At 37.9% G+C, this 23,114-nt stretch overlaps 1 long non-coding RNA gene across 4 annotated transcripts in view; it reads left to right on the top strand.

Annotated features, from left to right (window-relative positions):
- Positions 1-15,479: 15,479 nt before the first annotated feature.
- Positions 15,480-23,114, top strand: part of LOC105374243 (uncharacterized) — a 33,238-nt gene continuing 25,603 nt past the window's right edge. For 3 of the 4 annotated variants that reach the window (XR_924756.2, XR_924757.2, XR_924759.3), the window contains exons 1-4: positions 15,480-15,736; positions 17,369-17,473; positions 21,096-21,259; positions 22,365-22,528. This is a non-coding gene — a long non-coding RNA (uncharacterized LOC105374243). Of the gene's footprint in view, positions 15,741-17,368; positions 17,474-21,095; positions 21,260-22,364; positions 22,529-23,114 lie in introns of all 4 variants that reach the window. The other variant, XR_924758.2, reaches the window with a different exon arrangement.

Raw genomic sequence — 23,114 nt, 5'->3', positions numbered from 1 at the left:
TGAACAGACTGGATAATTGGAAATAAAATTTATTTTCCTTTAGAATGAATTCATTTCTTTTGGTGGCTAATTTATCTTCTGAATTTTGCTTAGACTGGATGAAAGACGTTTTGTATTTCTCAAACACTTACCTTCATATAGGAAAGGGAAAGTGACCCTAGAATATAATACCTGGAAGAGGAAAACCAACTTTTAAAAAATTACAGATAAGTAAATATTACCAATGGTTTGTATTGTATTATTAAATAAAAATTACAATAAATTACATGTACTATATTTTCATAACTCATTTTAAAATTCCGGGTCCTTATTGCTTTTAACAAGATTATTAGTGTTGATTTCTGGTATGAAAGGCTGGCCACTATTTTTTAAATAAGTTTCTGTACTTGTGAAGAATATCTTTAAAAAAAAAAAAGGTGGGGGATGGGTCGGGAGCAGTGGCTCACGCCTGTAATCCCAGCACTTTGGGAGGCCGAGGTGGGCGGATCACCTGAGGTCAGGAGTTCGAGACCAGCCTGACCAACATGGAGAAACCCCCGTCTCTACTAAAAGTACAAAATTAGCCAGGCATGGTGGCGCATGCCTGTAATCCCAGCTACTTGGGAGACTGAGGCTGGAGAATCGCTTGAATCCGGGAAGCGGAGATTGCGGTGATCTGATATTGCCCCATTGCACTCCAGCCTGGGCAACAGGAGAGAAACACCATCTCAAAAGAAAAAAAGAAAAAGGGTTGGGGGTAGCTTTTACATGAAAATTTCCATTCCTTAAATAAGGAAGTAATACATATAATGAAAGAAGAAATATAGAAAAGATCGTGGGACTATTTTTGAATGCATGTTGTTTTATAGATAATGACCATGTAAAAAAATGGAGTGATAATCAGCTATGGAAGAAGTATTGCTGAAATCATTCCTGTTTTCTTATATGTACCATTGTCAATCAAGGTAAGGTAATAATTATTTGAAATCAAATAAACAGACAAAATTTAAGAAGTGTTTCTATATAATTATATATATAATGTGTATATATAGTGAATGAGTTTATACACACACACATATACAAACTATCTTGTGTGTTTAATATATATGAACCAAATGGATTACCTATATATGTGAAGATAGAAATATTTTTAAAAACTCTAAAAGTTTAGTAAACTGACTATATGGTACTATTTAAATTAAAAAGTTTGGATAATTCTACGGCATTTGTTTTAATTTTCCAGCAAAGAAAGATTACAAATGATCCTGGCTTTTGAATAAAACCAGTCCCTCTTCAAGAACAGAACATTTTAAGATCTAAGATTCTGTGTGGCTGCTAAAGTGTTTAAGCCATTTCAAGCTGTGATCTCTACAGTACCACTGCAAGCAGTTGGGAAAAGTGAAAAATTTTATCAGCCTGGTGTTAATTTGATGCTTTTCTTTCCTTTTTCTGTCCCCCCCCTTTTTTTTGCCTCTTTCCTTACTTCTTCCCTTTCTTTCTCTCTCCTTTCCTTCCTTTACTTTTATTTTTAATTGAATGCATGAAATTTCTTGAATGTTCCAGGGTCCTGTAATCAGAGTATTGACAATCTAAATTGTTCATCACTTTGTCTTCTGCAAATTTCTGAAAGCGTGCTTAACAGAGATTCCAAGACAAGCCATTTGAATACTCCTCACTGAATTGGTAACAAAACAATCACTTCCTGGTAAAAATAACTTCTGAATTTCCAAAATGAGCAGTGGCTTTGCTCCAGAATTAAAGAGAAATGAATCAGTTCTCAGGTGCTTTGGTGTCTGACAAATGTGTTATATGTAATCTTGGGTTAACTTTACTGAGCCTCAGTGTCCCCATTTGTAAAGTGGAAATGCTAGTAATACTTCCCTCAGAGGATTGATGCAAAGATAAAATGAAACAGCATTTGGATAGCCCTTGGCAGAGTTCCTGGCATATAATAAGTGCTCAAGAAATAATAGCTGATGATCTTAGAATATATTATTAATTAATTAAATAAAATTAATATACCATTTCCTTGTACGTGCAGTACAAACAGTACTAACTCATACTACATGGAGTGATTGCTCAAATGCTCAGTTATGTCACTAGGTAGCCAACAGACCATTATAGAACTCAGGGCAAATACAGTGTTATTTAATTCACAGATGGCATTATTGATTTTAGTCATTATACATAAATTGCAGAAATAGGAAGACAAGCAATTATACCTGAAAAACTAGAACTTACAATAAAGACTTACTGTATTTTGAAACTTTCTTTGAAAATTTGAAGTTTTATGAAACACATTTTATTTGTTAAATATGCTCAAGAATTAAAAAAGAAACACTAAAAAAGAATCAATGAGCTATGAAAAACAAACCCACACAAACATTCACAAAACACTTTACCAAATACTCAGGGCCCTTGCATGAAAGCATTTCAGATGTTTAATATGCTTTGAAGGCATTTTACTACCTAACAGAATTTCACTTAAGTCCTTTTAAAAAAGTAAGTGTAGGCCAGGTAAAAAAGTAAGTGTTGGCCAGGTGCAGGTGCAGTGGCTCATGTCTGTAATCCCAGCACTTTGGGAGGCCAAGGCGGGTGGATCACCTTTACCTGAGATCAGGAGTTCGAGACCAGCCTGGCCAACATGGTGAAAACCTGTCTCTACTAAAAATACAAAAAGAAAAAAAAATAGCTGTCCATGGTCGCGTGTGACTGTAATTTCAGCTACTTGGGAGGCTGAGGCAGGAGAATCATTTGAACCCAGGAGGCAGAGGTCGCAGTGAGCTGAGCTCGCGCCACTGCACTTCAGCCTGGGCAGCAAGAGCGAAAACTCCATCTCAAAAAAAAAAAAAAAAAAAAGTAAGTGTAACACCTGGTATATATAACCACTTTTGAAAATCAGTTAAAAGAGCCTCATGCAAATAGATAACAGATAGTGGAATGGTTCTGTAGTATAACTAAAGGTATAATGAGTAAAAAAAAAAAGCTGGTGAAACTATAAGGGTATTTCACCTATCTTTCTAACTGACATAGGGGAAAAAAAAAAAAAAAAGGCCTTCCATTGTACAACTCCAAAGGGTTATACCATGAAATGCCAAGTTTATCTGACAACTTTGGGTGGCGTGGAATCTGTCAACAAAATTCACTAAAATACGAGTCAGGGACAGTTGGAAAACGAAGGAAGAATTGGTGCTTCATAAATGAAAGTCTAGATTAATGTGATTATAGTTTCTTTAGAGCCATTCAAAAACATAAACAATCTTATTGAAAAAGAAAATCTATTAGTCTGCATTTCATAAGGAGGAACTATTCCCTCAGCCTACATAATTTTCCTACCTTTTGTTTTATGGCAGAGCTTCATGTTTTAATATAGTAAATAAAGATGTGATTGGGGGTGAGGGAAGGTCAAGGCACACAGCTCTCTCTTTCCTTAAAGATCTTTTGGGGTTTCCAACCAATTCAGTGAAGGGCGAAATGAATTAATTAGTTGAAAGTGATATTTCAGATAAAACAATTAGCACTTTAATCCAATTTTGTAGGGGTGAGGACTTCACCAAGTCTCCTGCCTTTTGTTGAAATGAATTCCATTTCAAAGTTAATTTTAAAAATTAAAAGCACAACCTTGAACTTCAACAGAAATATTTAACTATTTGCAGCATGTGCATTTTTAATCTACCCCTGCTGAGTGAATAAGAGAGGTTATACAGATTTCCCCTTCCAGTTTATTAAGGAGAAGTAAAGGAAACAAACAAATAAACAAAGGTGGTGGTGGCAGGGGGATAGCCCACCTTCCTGCAGTGCTTAAAGGCATTTGGGAAAACCTCCTTGGCATTCTATAAGAAACACATAGATTAGAATATGCAGGATCAAAATGAGAAATTATGGTAAATGGTTAATCTAAGAGGAAAACAGCAGTCACTTTTTGTATGCCATATTGGGCATAAACATTCTAACTTTATGTTAAACATTTTTGAAATTATATGCAGAATAAACAATTCTATACATTGAATCAAAGAGCATGAATAAAAACGTAGTTATTTATGCAATGATTCTGAAGTTCTGGGAGGTTTTTAATCCTAATCCATTAAAAAGTAGATACAAAATTAGTCCTCTAAGAAGTTCTTTTTTTTTTTTAAAGAGGAGAAATGAAACCTTTTTTTTTTTTTAAGTTCATTATTTCTTAGGGTAAAAATCACTGCATCTTTGGCGTCTGGGAAAGCTGGGCACCACTGAAATTTTAACATATATAGTGTAATTTAGCAGAGCCCTTAAAAAGTGTTGAAAGAAGTTTAATGGAGGGCGTCCATTGGGTGTTATTGATCTGTCAAAGAAAATGAGTGCTGCGCACATAAACCAAACTGCACAGCAAGTAACAACTACAAGTTTAAAACTGAGTCTCCCAGCGTTAAACCTAATGAGCACCTGCTAAGAGAGAGCTGCGGGAAGACTGAGACATTTAGATAGGAGAGGGGCAAATGTGTTCTGGTTTAAGTCTGATTGGTACTCGTATCTTAGGCAGCCATCTTCAACCTTGCTTCCACTTGGGAATAAATCTGTTGCACCTAAACCTAAGTAATACTCCTCCACCTCCTCCCACACAATAATAAGAAATGAGTAAAAGGCAGAACAACTTTCCAGTGAATTGAAACTTTCTTACTTCAGAGATATTTCTAACACTGCTGGCCCTAGACAGTCCTGATGAACAACTTAGGTAAGAGCACTTTTTTCAGCCACATCACTAATTGGCTTACTCTTACTTTTCACTTTAATTTAAAACCAAAGGGGAGAAAAATGATTTCCAAGGCACCTGCAATCTGACATGTATGAGCAGAACTGAAAGTATTTTTTTCAAAATTGGATTAATTAGCATTATCAGAAAAACAAAGGGAACAAAGCCACCAGTAAGTAGTGCATTAATCATATTGCTAGTAATTAGTGCCACAATAGAAATACAAGAAAAAACAAAGAAGTTGGAAATAGTTCTGAAACTAGTCATATTTTGTAGGTATCACTCGCTAAGAAATAGACATACTTGGATGTGCAGAGAAGACAAGAGTAAAATAGAATCTCAAAAATCACAGAAAGTTAAAAGACTCAACTGCATAAATCCTGAACCCCAGAGAAATGGAGAAATTGATATATTTTTAATGTCTAAAACCCACAGTTAAAAAACAGACAGGGAGGGAGGGGACAGGGGGAGGATAGTAAAGAATTAGAGGAACAGAATGTATTTCCATTTTTAAAAGAGAGAGTTTATACTATTGTAACAAAGCTAATGCCAGGTCTAGCCAAACCTCAGATGTGCAGGATTGTTTTGAAACACAGAAATGGTGGCTAGGCGCGGTGCCTCCTGCCTGCAATCACAGCACTTTGGGAGGCTGAGATGGGAGGACTGCTTGAGGTCAGGAGTTCAAGATCAGCCTGGTTAACATAACGAGACCCCATCTCTAAATAAACAAACAAACAAACAAACAAACAAACCCTACAGAAATGGCGAGAATTCTCTTTGCTTTAAATATATGATTGGATAATGTCAAGGAATTTAAAACTTTCTTTAGAGTGATAAAAACATTAAATTAATTAAGATCTTTAAAGAAAGGAATAAGACATCGGATTCATTTCTTACCCCTTAATTTTCAGGGACTATTCTAAGAATTGTTTTATAAAAGTATTTTAGATGACAATGCTGATTTGTGTTGATTCATTCTACAACTAAGATTGAGCCCAGTGAGGTCCAAAAGAATATGAAGAGGAAAACTAAAATTTTTCTTCTAGTTCCGAAAAACCCATATCAAGTCATCTATTTTTCTATGCTCCAATTTTTCTTACCCAGCAAAATTAAAATTGACAGAATAAAGATTTAATCTGACTGTTACCTCCTTGAAGATGTCTGTATTAGACCATTCTTGCATTGCTATAAAGAAACACCTGAGACTGGGTAATTTATAAGAAAGGAGGTTTAATTGACTCACAGTTCTGCAGGCTGTACAGGAAGCACAGTGCCAGCATCTGCTTCTGGGGAGGCCTCAGGAAGCTTTTCCTCACTGCAGAAGGTGGGTGAAACAGAAGCAGGCACTTCACATGGTGAGAAAGGAACAAGGAGGGAGAAGGGTGCTACACCCTTTTAAATGACCAGATCTTAGGAGAACTCACTCACTATGGCAAAGACAGTACCAAGCCACGAGGAGTCTGCCTCCACGACCCAAACACCTCCCACCAGGCCCCATACCCAACATTAGAGATTACAATTCGACATGAGATTTGGGTGGGGACAAATGTCCAAACTATATCAATGTCCTCATGGGGGCATATGAGATGAAGAATTTTGTTTCTTTTGTTAAAATAAATAAACAAAAGAGTTGTGCATTTGGAGGTGGTAGCAGATAATGCTGACTAGAAGTTGATTTTCACCTGGGCCCACAGAATGGTACAGATAGAAGGAAGGGACATCTTAGAAATGAATTGAAAGGGAGGTATTCTACTGGAGCTTCCCCTTCCACAGTTCTTTCAGATCTATTACTCTTTTTCAAGTTTCATGAAATATCTTCTTCTGTCTTTGAACCTTTCCTTTTTTATTTTTATTTTTATTTTTTTTAGAGTCAGAGTCTTGCTCTGTCACCCAGGCTGGGGTTCAGTGGAACCATCATAGCTCACTGCAGCCTCAAACTCCTAGGCACAAGCAATCCTTCCACTTAGTCCCCCTAGTAGCTGAGATCACAGGCATGAAGCACCATGCCTGGCTTATTTTCTTTATTTTTTTAATAGATGGGGTCTCACTATGCTGCCCAGGTTGGCCTCTAGTGATCTTCCCGCCTTGGCCTCCCAAAGTTCTGGGATTACAGGCATGAGCTACTGCACCTGGACTCATTTTTCAGTACTCCTTTCTCTCACTCTTACTGGGCCTCCCTTCCTTGTTGGATTATCTCCTTTTATTCCTCAGTTATTCTTCTCATATTTCTCTTCATAAGTCTTTCCTTCTTTCACATTTTACTTTCATGCCTTTAGCACCTGAGTCTGGAGGTCAGTCACCCACCTAGCTCCCTATTCCTCTCACTTTGATCAAGTTATTTTTTAACTCAATGTATTTTAATTTCTGTATTTATATCATTATAATAGTAGAACTTTCATTTTATTAGTGTCCTCAACCTTTCAGATAAAAGAAAATATATTATTCAAAATCCATTCTTAATTTGGCTAATTAAGTAGCTAATATATTATTCGAATAGCCTTTGCAACGTTAAGGAGAACAGCTTTAGAAATATATCTTCACAGAAACTCCATGTGTAAAGTATAAATTTGATATCAGATATCTAGCAATACAGAGGAAAGGCTGATAACTCTGACACATGAAAGTAATAAATTTATGTATAGACAAAGAAAAAGTTAAAATATAACAACTTACTAGGAAGAAATTTGTCCTATATATATGCCAGAGAAAGGGCCAATGTAATAAGTATACAAACTGCTTGTCTTAGTTTGCACTGAAATAACAAAATATCATAAACTGGGAGGCTTATAAATAACAGAAATTGAATTTTCACAGTTCTGGAAGTTGGAAGTTCAAGATCCAGTTACCGGTAGATTTGGTATCTAGTGAAGGACTACTTTCTGGTTGTGCGTTCCACATGGTGGAAGGGGCAAATGGAGCTCTTTGGGGTGTCTTTCATAAGGGTGCAAATCCCATTCATGAATGTTCTAATCTTGAGACTTAACCTGCTCCCAAAGGTGCCACTTCCAAATAACATCACTTCGGGGATTAGACTTCAACATATAAATCTGATGAAGACACAACATTCAGTCTATGGTATAACCCTTACAGAATCAATAAGAAAAGACAAATCACTGCACAGAAAATAGACAAAGGGCACAAATAGTTTTTAGAAAATAAAATATAAATGGCTAGTGAATAAGCAGAAAACTAAAAAGAGTGTTCGACTTACTGGAAATTTTAAAAGTGCGAATGAAAGCAACAATGTACCACTTTTATCTACCAGATAAGGACTCCTAAAGTCCAACAATGTCAATCATTGACAAGAACATGGAGAAGTGGGTGCTCATTCATATGCACATTAAACAGGTGTTTACTGAGTTCTACTCTAAAATACTTGTGATGGAATAGCAAATTGTTGCAATCTTTAAGAAGGGCAACTTAGAAATATCTAACAAAATTTTAAATGCACATATTTTTCAGTATCTATGCTTCCAAGAATTTATGTTAACAAAGATGTATCTACAAAATGAATGTATTGCTGCAATGCTTATAACAGCAAAAAATTGAACACAATCTAAATGTTCTCCAGTGGGCGACATTACTTAACTATAACATGGTATTTTTATACATTTCATATGTGTATGATGTACAACATTATACAGGTGATAAAAGAAATGCAATGGACTATATAAACTGATGCAAAAAGCTATCTAAGATATATCAAGTTAAAAGAAAGTAGACAGATACAGAATATAGATACACATTTATGTATGATCCCATTTCATAAAACTAAGAAACATATTTATATTTATTTCTATAAGCATGTTTATACATAAAAATTTCTGAAAGGACACAGAAGAAACTGTTTTCAGTTGTTACCCCTGGAGAATGATAAGAATTAAGGAGAAAAGGGCATTTCACTTTTTCACTTTATATTCTTCTGTTCTATTGAATTTTTGTCTTTGCAAGACTATATACCTTACAATTATAATTTTAAAACTGGTTTCCAAAATACGCCATAAAAATGAGCTTGAAGTCATTATAAAAATTCATTTCAAAATGACATAAGGAAATTTACTGGTATACTTAGTTTTTGAAAAAAGAAATCCATGAATGAAGCCAAAAAACATATTCCCATAATTTTACCCTATATATTATACATAGATATGAATACTATGGATATAACTAAACAAATGTGAATGGATATTCATCTAGTTTGCCTGGGAGAAGACTTTTTGTTTGTATGTCTGAATTTGTGAAATCAGGATCAAAGCTAATAGTAATAATCTTCTCAAATAAGTATAGGAAAAGAATAGTAGATTCCTAGTCTTAGTAAAGCTGAGCAATGTGGACTTCACATCATTCTTTGTAATGTACCTTACAACTTTAACAACAAAGACTATCTTTAAAAATTGCTTTAAATAAGACCCCAAGGTTGTATAATAGTAAACCAAGAGCAGGTGACTACTGCATCCTCAGAACCCTCAGGAAGAGTCAAGTGACTTAGAAATAGCATGGGCCATGGATGCAGGCCTGGGTTCCATTGAGGCGGGGCTTCTAAGGCCAAACACTTCATCTCTCTGAGACTTGTTTTTTAAATACGTAAAACACAGATAATAATACCCACTGCAGGAGCTATATTTAGGAGTCAGAATTTGAAGGCAGCATTACACTGTGTAAAGGATGCTCATTTTGGAGTCAGTTCTGATTTTCAATCTTCACTCCACTACTTCCACTACTTATCAGTTATGTGAACTTGGGTAAGCTAACCTATCTTCTCAATGCTTCAGTTTTCTCATTTGAAAATTATATACATATATACACACACAAATATATATATACACATAAAATATATATCTATACACACATATATATGAGATATATAGGAGATATATATATGCGAGATATATATATATGCGAGATATATATAGAGATATATATATATGCTATGGAAGGTAGTTTCAAAGATTTAAGAGGTAAGTGACACAAAACATTGAGCATATCATGGCACATAGTTAATGCAAAGTAAATGTTTGTCCCTAATTCACATGAAGTATCATAAAAAGAACACTAATGATTACAGCCAGCTGAGATGGAGCTCTCTCTTTAATCTCCTTGGTCTACAAAGAGAGTAAAAGAGAGAAGAAAGAAGGAAGCTGTGACTTATCCATATCTGGATTTATCAGGATCTGTCTAGAGATAGTGTGATTCCTCAAAGCTTCCTTTGCACTTTTGTTTCTAGCTAAGATAGACTAACAAGAACCAGACTTACCTTTCCACCTGAAAGAACTTAAAAACAGATAAAATGTACTTTAAAATCCCAGTTTTTGAGACACTGGCCTTAGGTAATGAGGGGCAGTGATCCTGATGAGATGGAAAACAAATGGTGTAAACCCTATGGCTGTGGTCTGAATGTTTGTGTCCCCCTCAAAATTCATGAGCTAAAACCTGCTCTCTAATGTGGTATTCAGATGTGGGGCTTTTTGGAGGTGATTGGGTCCTGAGGATGGAGCCCTCATGAATGAGATAAGTGCCCTCATAAAAGAGGTTGAAAAAACTTGTTCACCCTTCCACATGTGACAGCAAAGCTAGAAGGGGCCATCTATGAGGAACGTGACCTCACTGGATCCAGATCTGCTGATACCTTGATCTTGGACTTCCCTGTCTCCACAACTGGGAGCAATACATTTGTACTGTTTATAAGTTACCCAGTCTAAGGTATTTTGTTATAGAAGCCTGACCACATTAAGAAACCTACCCATCTTACTGCCTTGAGAGAGTTTCTAGGCTATGATGCAGGGAGAGAGAATATAGGTGGAGTCCATTACATTCCCTGAATGGAGGAAGCAGTGCTTAAAGGCTGGGATGACCAAGGTGGCTAGAATTCACAGGATGAAGTACCAGAGAGGAGAAGGCTGGATATCTCCAGAGGCTCTGCCTCACATATCCAGCAGAATACTGATCAAGACATGCATGTGAGGAGGCTGTCAGAGGCCTGAGAAGGAAACACCAGAAAGGATTAGCGGTAACAGTGTCCAGTACTGTCATGGGTTAGGTGTGCATGTTGGAGTCTGTCCTAGGTTAGTGCCTGTTCCAACAACCAGACTGGAAAACCACATAATTTATAGGGCATTGGGCAGAATACACTCTCCCTGTGATTTTTGACTTTCCTTTTGACCATGTGTAACTGAATAAGAAACTTTTCCATGTAAATCTGCTCGTTATACATTAATCGTCTATTGATAAATAAATACTATGCCCTCATGTTTTCTACAGGTAAATACAGATTGGGAAATTGGGCCAACCAGTCTCCATTTCTTTCTCTCACTTCCTCCCATCCTTCCTTCCTTCCTTCTCCCTTCCTTCTTCTTTCTTTTTTTCTCTTTATGAAGCCAAATAGGGTGTAAAACTAAAAAAGACCAACAGACCAGACTTGGAAATGTAAAAATCACCAAATGTCATTGCAAAGAAAAGAGATCAGGAGCTGCCCTTTCTTTAAAAGTGCTGCTCACTTGACCAAGACCCTTCCTTCTTCCAATTCCAGGCAAGAAAATCGGGCCACAAAAAGAAGGACTGCAAATAGAGGAAATTTGTATTCAGATAAACTAGTTCATGAAAAAACAATACACACAAAAAAACAGAACCTTATTTGGGGAGGCTTCCTTCAGTCCTTGCTCATCTCTTATCCTACCTCCCACTCTCTGAAGATTTTTTTTTTTTAAAGGAAAGTTCTTTGGGTATATACCCAGTAATGGGATTGCTGGGTCAAATGGTATTTCTAGTTTTAGATCCTTGAGGAATCACCACACTGTCTTCCACAATGGTTGAACTAATTTACACTCCCACCAACAGTATAAAAGCATTCCTACTTGCCCACATGCTCTCCAGCATCTGTTGTTTCCTGACTTCTTAATGATCACCATTCTAACTGGTGTGAGATGGTATCTCATTGTGGTTTTGATTTGCATTTCTCTAATGACTGGCGATGATGAGCTTTTTTCATATGTTTGTTGGCTGCATAAATGTCTTCTTTTGAGAAGTGTGGCACATATACACCATGGTATACTATGCAGCCATAAAAAAGGATGAGTTCATGTCCTTTGCAAGGACATGGATGAAGCTGGAAATCATAATTCTCAGCAAACTAATACAAGAACAGAAAACTAAACACCGCATGTTCTCACTCATAAGTGGGAGTTGAACAATGAGAACACATGGACACAGGGAGGGGAACATCACACACAAGGACCTGTTGTGAGGTAGGGAGCTAGGGGAGGGATAGCATTAGGAGATACACCTAATGTAGATGACCGATTGATGGGTGCAGCAAACCACTATGGCACGTGTATACCCATGTAACAAACCTGCACGTTCTGCACATGTACCCCAGAACTTTAATAAAAGAAATAAAAATAAATGAATGAATAAATAAATAAAGTTCTGCCTGGACATGAATGAGGGGCTTCACTGCTTGTTTCAGGTCTTGGAACCTGCAGGAAACTCTCACGCTTGAACTCACTGAAGCTCCAATTAAAAATAAAGTGTGGGTGAATCATTTTGCTGCTATGAGTTGCCCACTAAGAGCTGGGAAAAGCTGTCTCAAAGCTGTCCTTCCACTCCACAAAGTCTTTACAAGGCCTCGGAAAGATTTCATTTATTTTAAGACCCAAAGGCCTTGCAGGTAAGCCAATGAGCCAAATCTCGACAACTGTAATATTCCTAAAAATGGGTGTATTCTACCTTGCAAAATGAAGTTGAATGCTCAATATTTTTTAATACAACAAAAATAAGTACTTAGTGGATATTTTTCTAAAAGTATAGCTAAGATCTTACTTATTGAATGTGTAGATTTAATTGGAACATTGGAAGCAACCTCAGTCTCACAAAACATCCAGGCTGTTGCTCTAGCCACAAGAAAAATTTTGCAATAGTTGTTGCAAGTGAGTCCCCTCTTCTAATCTCATGCAAATCCAGTTTCTTTTGTGTTGGAAAAGTGTTTCATGTAGAATGAAAGAGAACTGCATTCTAACTTTTCAGGGAAGCACTTTGGACTATAGCATGTTCAAAAGACAAAAGTTTCACCATTAACAATAACAATCCAAAGACGTAGTGGGCAGTATGGTGTGGTTCAAAGAACCCTCACTGGCTTGTGTGAGCTGGGTTTCAGCTCTGATTCTGAAGCATATAACCTTCAGGAAGTTGTGCCCCTCTCCAAACCTCAGTATTTTCACCCATAAAATGAAATTATTGAGTCCAAGATCATTATTGAGTCCAAGATCAACACTGTAATAAATAAAGAAATGTTTATGTCAATATGCTTCAAAAAGACATTTTATCCTGCCATTTATACTCCTTTACCAGGATGGGGCAGAACCGGGGGTGGGCTGGGAGTCGCGGGTGGAGCACTAACAAAATTTTGGACACAAGCGTGTCTTAATTTAGAATGTGGCTGATTTTACTTTTGCAATGTGTCGTTGATCTCTTAGACCCAAATAGGAGAAAGCATTTACTAAAGCAACACAGCATTTGGAAGAATTAATGCATAACCTCAAAATGGGAGTTGGCGCACTTCTTACCAGTAGAAGCAGCCTCCTTATAATAGCATAAGTAAAATAGGTGGTTCCAAACCTATGCTTCCTTAAGCAGCTTTCTGAAGAACAAGTCTTTCTGGAGATTGTAGAGTCAGTTATTGAATTTCTGTAGCATAAGCTAGAGTATCATTGGACCCATTTAAAACCCAGGTTAATTTTACAGTTTCTCTTCAGATTAAAACATTTTTAGTGTGTTCACCTTTTGTACCTTAACACTGTATTACTTATTGATGTTACCACCTTGTCTTATCTTATCTCACTCCATCTTACCTTTCCTTACCTTATCTCATCCTCTGAAGTCATTACGCTAATATTAAGACACCTTGATAACAAAAGGCTTTTGTTCTCAACAGGACCTTTCTAAGTCCTTTTTTCGCCTCTCCCCTGACATAAAGCATGTACCTTGGTTTTCTTTTCTTTATTAGTTAAGCATTTAGATGGAAGAAAAAAATAAAAAAAGAAACCAAGTAAATATTTTAATGAACACAGACAGATACACATGCACACATGCATTCAACCCCAAACTGACTAGAAGAGCATGCCACTGTAATAATGTGGAAGGCCAGGAGAACTCATGCCTTTTGTTTAAGCAGGTGCTTGGGAACAAGGAGACATCACCCGGATTCAGGGCATCGTGTGAAGATCTGGCTTCACTCATCACTTATTGTTGAGCAATGGGAGCAAAAATGTAGCAAATAATGCAAAGAAAATCCTTCTAAGGGATCTGAGCCCGGAAACTAATCCAGGCAAGTATGACTCGTGTCTCTGTAGTTTATAAGGGCAGATTTCTTTGGTATTTAATTAGTGAATGAGTGGAATCTGTGCATTGAATTTAAGAAGAAAACAGTTTACTTTTTCGTCTCTGAGAAGTCTTGAGCAGTCCAGGAAAGATAGCTAATTGCTCATGGCAATTGCTCACAGCAATCACAACAGCCTCTATGGCATTTCTTGAGTACTACCATGCATCACAATGCACCCAAACTGAGCATGGCATCTGGATAAGAGTCTTCTACTTGCAAATAAGAGTGAGAATTAAAAATAGATTAGGAAAGCATAGTCATCCCAAGTCCTCTGTGGGGGTTATCCATCTAACAGGTGGGCGGCAGGAATAAAAGGGAAGGAGCTGTGGCTTAGCTTCAAGATTTATTTTAACTGGCATAGGGTGCACTTCCACTACAATAGTGATCATATTAAAAATCTAGATGAGTCTACTTGTGAGTACTCAGTCCTTGTGGCCACACTGGGGAGGAAGGAAGGAAGGAAGGAAGGAAGGAAGGAAGGAAGGAAGGAAGGAAGGAAGGAAGTCAGGAGTTTGAGACCAGCCTGGCCAACATGGTGAAACCCCATCTATACTAAAAATACAAAATTAGCTGGGCATGGTGGCAGGGGCCTGTAATCCCAGGTACTCGGGAGGCTGAGGCCAGAAAATTGATTGAACCCAGGAGGCAGAGGTTGCAGTGAGGTGAGATTGCACCATTGCACACTAGCCTGGGCAACAAGAGTGAAACTCCATCTCAAAACAAAAACAAAAATGAAAAACAAACAAACAAACAAACAAACTTTACTTAGTGTAGTGGTTAAAAGCACGGGTCCTAGAGCCAGCCCACCTGGGTTTAAATCCAGACTGCAACATACTAGCAGTGTGACCTTGAGCAACTTGACCTCTCTGTGCCTCATTTCCCGTTCTATAAAAATAGAGTTTTTCTGAGAATTCGAGGAGGTGCTATGAGGAAATTTGTGGTATGATACCTGGCATATGAGAAAAGCTTGTTATGTTTTAACTATTTTTATGCATAGTATCCTACTTTGCAGGTTCTCTATAGTCAATCTTGGAGAAATAATCATGAGCACTTACTTTTTCTCAAATGCTACTTTCTTGGTAACTAGTTAAGGGATATTTCTTTTCCTTTCTCATTATTACTTGCCATGGTTGGTTCTTTCTCAGGTTGCAAAGACATCATAATAGTTTAGATAGTAGAATAATAATAGTTTCCTGAATTTATACACTAGTTTCTCTGGCTTTGTAGATCAGGTGAAGCACCTCTGAATGACAGCCAGCAGCATGTGGTGACTGTGGCTAGGTTATTATTATCTATGGTTCATGTGAGAGGACTATGACTCACAGAGGGCTTGTGTGATGGCATGCCCATGGCTGTAGAGGACATTGGGGGTGCTCTGATTCTCAGGCCCCGGCTTGCTCACCACCCAACTCATACCCGCCTCATCGGCTGTTCACACGTGCACTTCCTGAACTACCACATTCTACAGTGATAATAATGACTGAGTTCTGTCTTATTCGGTAAAGCTCTTGGGTACAGTGGTGATCATGTTACACACATATCAAGTGGTGTGGGAAAAAAGCATCCAGAAGGCAATTTCAAGCATGCAAAATGGGATCACTGACATGGAAAATCAGTGACATCTGATTCCCATTGTGCCAGCCTTCTGTAAATATGTAAGTAAGTGGAATTTTGTCAAAAGGTTCTTAGCTATTATGAATTACCATTGCATTTTAAAGATCAAAATTTCTAAGAGAGTTTTAGGAAAGCCTTGCACATTCATAGTTGTGTTTTTTAGCTCATACTGCTTCTTGAAACCCAAGCATTTTGAAACTTTTGGGATGCTCCTGGGTATGTAGCTTAAAATTGTTAATAAAATTTATAGTATTTGAATGCAAGTAATACATGGTAAAATCTAGAATTATAAGATGTTAGTCTTGCAAGATATATTGAAAGTAATATAGTTTGGTGACCACTCTACTCACCCATTTTATATATGAGGAAACTGAGGATGAGAGATTATTTACTCGTTTATATTGATTATTAGTTTTTATAATAACTATTATTCTCTAATTAGGTTGCCAGATTCCAAATCCACTAATCTTTCCACTTCACCATCCTAAGTTTATGAAACCAAGTAAATTCGGCTGGGCGCGGTGGTTCATGGCTGTAATCCCAGCACTTTAGGAGGCCGAGGTGGGCGGATCACGAGGTCATGAGATCCAGACCATCCTGGCTAACACGGTGAAACCCCGTCTCTACTAAAAATACAAAAAATTAGCCGGGCATGGTGGCGGGCACCTGTAGTCCCAGCTACTCGGGAGGCTGAGGCAGGAGAATGGCGTGAACCCGGGAGGTGGAGTTTGCAGTGAGCAGAGATCGCGCCACTGCACTCCAGCCTGAGCGACAGAACGAGATTCCGTCTCAAAAAAAAAAAAAAAAAAAAAAAAAACAAGTAAATTCAAAATTCAATGTATGTGATGGTGCTAACACAGCATCACTTAGGAAAGCTATAATTTTTTTTTTTTTTTTTTTTTTTTGCTTATGGCTCAGGTTTGGGTCCATATGCAATTTTTTAAAATTCTGCATGCTCTGAAACCTAAATTTCAGAGACAGGAATTTTTTTTGTTTGTTTGTTTCTACCAGTGTGAACCTCCTTAGACCTCGGGAATTGTCCTTCCCTCTACATTTATACCAGTTAGATCCTTTCTTTCCGCTACACCTGTTGGAAAAATGTTACTAACCTCTACCAACTTACATGCCTTTTTTCCCCCTTTCAGCTAGGCTTTTTCTCAGAGAAGTTTTTTCATTCATCCACCTGTTTTGTCAGGTGATTTCTTTAGAAACTATTTTTTTTAAAAGCATGTCCTTTGCTTCTAAGAAAAATTTGATTTTTAAAGATAATAAGTATAGGCAAATAAGGAGCCGTCAAAGGGAAATGGTGGTCACATGTCACACATTCTTGTGTGACCACATTGATGAAACCTGCTCCAGCTCTGCTCACCCGACTCACACTGAAGCGTTAGTGTGGATCATGTTTTAATATTTACTTGTGTGCGTGTGTTTTGCAACATTTTCACTCTCCCGACACAGGTTAAAAGAAACAATTATTTGTTTATTTTTTTTTCCAGTTTGAACATTACTTGATTTTTTGAACCACATTTTTCATTTGAGTGCCATGTTCACTCTGATAACAGATCATTCTCCTGTTTTCATATCTCACTGCCAAAAGGGACTCGCCCGTTATCTCTGATTGAGGCAATTCGAACTTTAAGTAAGCCTGTCTTTATCAACTACTGTTTTAACAGCTGATTAATTAGTGCTGCAGAGATCTAGGGGAGGCCTTTATCTGAAGAGCAGTTCAACCATTAGCAAAGGAAACTTCCTTGTGCACCAGCGGCTCAGATAACAAGGTAAGATAATAGTTCACAATCCTTTGGCTAATGCAAACAGGAGCACTCCCTCTTATCCCAACACAGGGGCCAGAGAGAAATGCTCAGCCAAATTCTCAAAATACCATGATCTTCAGTGGTAAAAACTCTGGTCATTTTGTAAGTGCTTTTTAGAATAGCACCTTGCGATTACATAGGACAGCAGGCATTTGGAAGCTCAAATAATATTCAATAGCTATTGGCTATTTGCAGGAAGAAATCAAGCCCTAGTAAGATTCAGCAATGAGAATGGTTGGGTTTATATCTTATCAATTAAGAGTGACTATGTGAGCTAACTGAAGCAGTTAGCCATGTACTCTTGGACAAGCCATTTACTAACTCATTTGCCCTCTCTGTAAAATGGAGCTAATCAGAGTACCTACCTCCTGACATTATTGTGAGAATTAAGTGAGCCAATGCTTCCAATGTTCTTAGAATTACGTCTGACACATGGAAAATGCTCGACAGATGTTAGTGTCATTACTAAGTTAGGGAAGATGCAAGTAATTTAGGTTCTTCAAATTCTAATAGAATTAGCCAGAGGTTAATTAAATATAAACAGAAAGGATCTGGGTCTGTGGTTGGGCACAGACTGTTATAACTATCACTCCCCACCAGCGCTATCATGACTTCTACCAGCAGCAACTATCTAATCATTGTAATAAGAATTCACAATATTCTTAGCATTTCACATATATGAATATGTTTAATCTTCACAACGTATGAGGAAGATCCTATTTTTATTTCCATCTTACAGCTGATGGAATTGAAGCCCAGAGAGCTGAAATGACCTGCCCAAGGTCACAGAACATAAAATGCTGAAAGAGATTTGACCCCCAGCAGTCTGGTCAGGAACCACAGACTGCCCGCTCTTAAGCACTCACTACTGCAATCACATTATTAATATTACTGCATGCTGAGTGTTTGCTGTGTCAAGCACTTCCCCATGCTCAGAGGTGAAGCAACTTACCTGAAACCTGAGACTAATACATACATCAGCCAAAATTCAAAGCCAGATTTTCCCCAACTCTTTTTTTTTATGCTTTGATGCCTCTTCAGTGTGGAGGTTTAGGGATGTTTAGGGTTAAGGAGAGAAAAGTGACCAGGGACCCAGGAATGAATCATTTGACTTTCTACCCCTTGGGATTCCTTCAGAGGGTCTGGCCCTCATTCTGGATCATCATTTTCCTTGTTGGGAAGGAAGGGCTGGGAGCCTGCAGGGTTGGATTTTCTGCAGGTAGGAGTTGTAGCTCACTCTACATTCTCCTAAAAATGTATTAAATGTAGAAGCATGTATGTGCGGAAATCTAATTTGTTGACCTAATCGTTTTTATTGTACTGAGTGGTATTCGCTTTTTATTTTCAGTGAATGATGCAAACTTGTCTGGCTTTAAAACATTAGTTTACAAAAGGCTGAGTAAGCCCTCTCAGTTACCCAGAAAGAACTAAAGTGGGTTTATTAAGACCATCTAGGACAGAGGCTGTCCCACCAGGTGTTGGCCTACTGACCTGTCTTTCCCATTACTTTGAAAATTTCCTGAAAGAAGGAGGGGCCTTGCTTCATTCACGATTGCACTCCAGCTTCTGCCATAAGCCTTGCACACAGAGGGAAGCATATAGCATAGTAGGAGACCAGTACAGGGGAAGGCAATTTTGTTAATCAGTACAGAGTATTCATGAGAGTTGATTTTTTAAAATTATTATTATTCCTAAGAGATAGGATGTGATTTAACACTTTTAACAGCCTCAGGCAACTCAGAATATTTCAAGGCTGAAGTAGGGAAAAGCCCAAGGCACCCTTATGAGAGCAGAATAAGCCAAACAAATGTTTATAAATGGAGTTTCATCACATTTAAGGAGAGGCAGTACATCATTTGTGCTTAAGATGTTTTTTTTCCAGGTCGGGGGGCGGGGAGGGATAGCATTAGGAGATATACCTAATGCTAGATGACGAGTTGGTGGGTGCAGCGCATCAACATGGCACATGTATACATATGTAACTAACCTGCACATTGTGCACATGTACCTTAAAACTTAAAGTATAATAATAATAAATAAATAAATAAATTAATTAATTGATTAAAAAAAGATTTTTTTTTTTTCCTTTTATATGACATTGAATGGTCTATAGAAGTCTATCAATGCTTTTTGGTTAACAGTGCTTTGCAGAATATAAAAAGTGTAATTAATTTTGAGTGTAAAACATGAAGTCATTTCTCAAGAGTGTAAACTATAAACTTCAGCATCTTAATTCTTCTAGACCTACCCGGGAAATCCTAAACCACTTTTCCTGCTAAATTTCTTAAAGAACCACCTCTGCTCACCTGGTGGTAGATGCATCAAAGGAACTAATTGACCCCCTCAGGACACATCTCCAAACTTCAATCCCTCAACTGTGAAGGAAATGTCACATCAATTATGGAAGAAAGGTGGCAGGGATGGGAATTAGGACTAGGCTACAGGATTTGAGGAACTTGCTCAGCTATGGCATAGACATTTATGGAGCACCCAATGTGGACGAGGCACTGGGGGGGTACAGAGATGAGTGTCTTGTGCCCTCTCCTTCAAGGAATATCCAGTTACAGAAAAAATAAGAAGGAAGGAGAGGGTGGGAACTCCCATCAAAGATGTGCAGGTGAAGTGCTAAGGGAGTGTTGGAAACATGAAGAAGGTGATCTGCCCGGGTGCTATTGCACTATCATTAACACTTTGTTGTAGGTGCAGCAAACCACCATGGCACATTTTTCACCTCGGTAATAAACCTGCACATCCTGCACATGTATCCCAGAACTTTAAATTAAATTAAAACAAAACAAAACAAAAAAATCACTTTCTTTCCGTGGCTTTTCCTAAGAGTAGAAACAGAAAACGTAACACCAGACGAAAATATTTTCTTAGAAACACCAAGGATAAATAATATATTAGTGGAAGGGTATGTATGCATGTACAAAAGATGTTTATATTAGCATAATTTATAAATACCAAAGAAAGAAAACCCCAGAAACATGTCGAAGAGGATTTATTTGATGAGCTACTATGCGGCTGTTTAAAAATCACAAAGAATAATATTTGACAATGGGGAAAAATCATGGTATTTTTGCTAAGGCTCAAACCATGCCTGAAAATAATTATTTGTATAGGTATGTTTGTATATAGTATATGTTTGAAAGCTCCTATACCAAAGGGTCAAATCAGCAATGGTTATCACTGAGTGATAGAATTATGATTGATGCTTGTTCACTGTGAATCTCTGTTTTACAAGTTTCTGGACTAGCATGTATGACTTTTATGGTAGTATGAAAAGACATAAATGTTGGTAAAAGTCCTTCACAAAAATTGCATCTTCAGGGCCCACAAATTTTGGTCAGTCATTACAAGCTTTCTACCAGATTAATTTCATTTATTCTTGAGAGGACTTTTTCCCTTTGGATTGTTCTGCCCTCTTAGCTATGATAGTGATTGAAACCAGACCAGGAAAGCCCTGTTCTGTTGGTTCTGCCTCTATGTAACTTGAGCTTTTTACAAGCGAATGTTTCTTATTTCATTTCTCATGGGAATTTTGTCTCTTCATTCTTGTTAAAATGTTTGCATGTTTATGTTATAGTTGGCTACCTTGTTGCCCCAGGGCACCTGTCTTGGGGATAACCAAGAATGTGGATGGTGATGGCCATGGTGCAAGACTCAGCTTCAGTGGGGGCTGCTCCCAGGATGTCGGGCTCACGGACCCCTCTCATTGATGCCAGTCTCAGGTGGCTCTATCCCTGGAAGGTACAGCAGTGATGATCTACTTCACTTCTATGACCTTCCCCTGCTTCTACCCATGCCACTAGCCTTTGCCCTGCCTTACCACCATCGTCACTATTTCTCCGGCCAAAGCTTCAACCATAGGAGTCCTGAGAACTGGCGTGAAGTAGGGTCTTAGTTGTTCTATCCTTTTAAGCCAACTTTAAATATGACCTGTACAGAACGGGGCCCCACACCCAGAAGGGCCTCATGCTTGGCTTATTGCTCTGCAGTTGGCATCTTAAAATTCTTAATTAATGCAAGGGATACTGCATTGTCAATTTACACTGGGCCTTGCACACTATGTAGCTAGTCCTGATGGTTTGGTCTCCAGCTGGAGATCCAGAGGGGAAAGAGCATGATATTTGAAGTCAGGCAGTCTTATATTTGATACCTAGCTCTGCCATGTAGCTGTGTGATCCTGTGCAAGTCACTTGACCTCACTGGGCCTCATCTGTGAAATAGGTCTAGAGATGCCTACTTTACAGAGTTGATGTTAGGGATGAACATATGTAAAGTTACTAAGATATTTTAGGCACTAAATAGTACTAATTATTAGTATTATTCTTGAATTGTTACAGCTATAAGACACCCCTTTCTCCAAATGTAACCTTGCTCTTTGAGTTTTGTTATTCTCTTGATTTAGGAAATTTTGGTGTTTCTAATGTCAAGCTAGATAAGGTCCAGAACACCATCTACCACAATCTCATGCCGACCCTGAACTGTAAAATCAGGACTGAGCTCTCTGCACTTGTTTTGTCTCCCTTGCATCCTCCCTGTGAAGGCCAAGGTGGTCTTTCTCTTCCCAGGAGTGTCAACTCTGGGGGTCCACATTTCCTTTCCTTTTTTCTCTAGTTGACATAGGAAGTTCCTCCACAGATAGAACTTCTAATAGGTGATTCTAATAATCCAGAATTCCTGAAGTTAGCACTTAGGTCCAATCCTTTTCCTGTCCCGGCTCTAACTTGCTTGCAGGTCATACTTGATCTCAGATCTGCTTTCTGCTCCACCGCCTATAGCTACTGCCCTGATAGCAAGAGTAATTCCTTGCATAGTAGTTCACATTTTAATAGAATTTTATCCTTTTCAGAACATTCAGGTCATTTTTGCATCATTTGATCCTTGAAACTATACTAAGAAGGGGTCAGAGTGATATCACCGTTTTCTCAAATGTGAGAATGAACACTGGCAAGATAAAGTGACTTATTCAAACGTACCCAGAGAGCTGATGAGAAAGTCAAGCCTAGGAAGCATGTAAGTCTCATTCATTCATTCATCAGTTCGTTGAATATCTTATGGGTTTGGTGCCAGGGATACTATAGTAGCAAAAACAGACAACACCCCCACCTTTAGGCATCTTATAGTCTTTTTGAGTGTGATAGATATTAAATAATAATCACAACCATAAATGTAAATTTTCAATTGTGATTAGTACTGGGAAGAAGAGACATCCAGGGCCAGTTTTTGTCTGGTTAGGAGGTCCCTCAAGCTGCTTCCTTAAAAAAAAAAGCAAGATGCAACTCTATGTTCAGAAATTTTATTTATTTGTCTGTTTCTGTGATACTTTAATAAATAAAAGATTTCTCAGAAAGCAAAACAACTTGTTATGTTGGGTAGATATAAACAGCTATAGAGTCTTTTAGCCATTCTCAACATTAATGTTTGGTCAGGGTAATAGACTGCGGTAAAGCAATCTCAGTTATGTGGGTCAACCTGAGTAGTAGAGAACTGAAGAAGACTGGACTGTTTGGATCCTTGTAAGTGATTTACCAACAGAAAACTTTGCTGTTTTAACCCTGCACTCTTAATCTAGAGCATCAGGTAGCATAGCACCTATCTG

The sequence above is a fragment of the Homo sapiens genome, chromosome 3 (assembly GCF_000001405.40).
Source record: "Homo sapiens chromosome 3, GRCh38.p14 Primary Assembly".
NCBI lineage: Eukaryota > Metazoa > Chordata > Mammalia > Primates > Hominidae > Homo > Homo sapiens.
The sequence above is the reverse complement of the archived record's forward strand: the minus strand, read 5'-3'. Positions and strand labels throughout refer to the sequence as shown.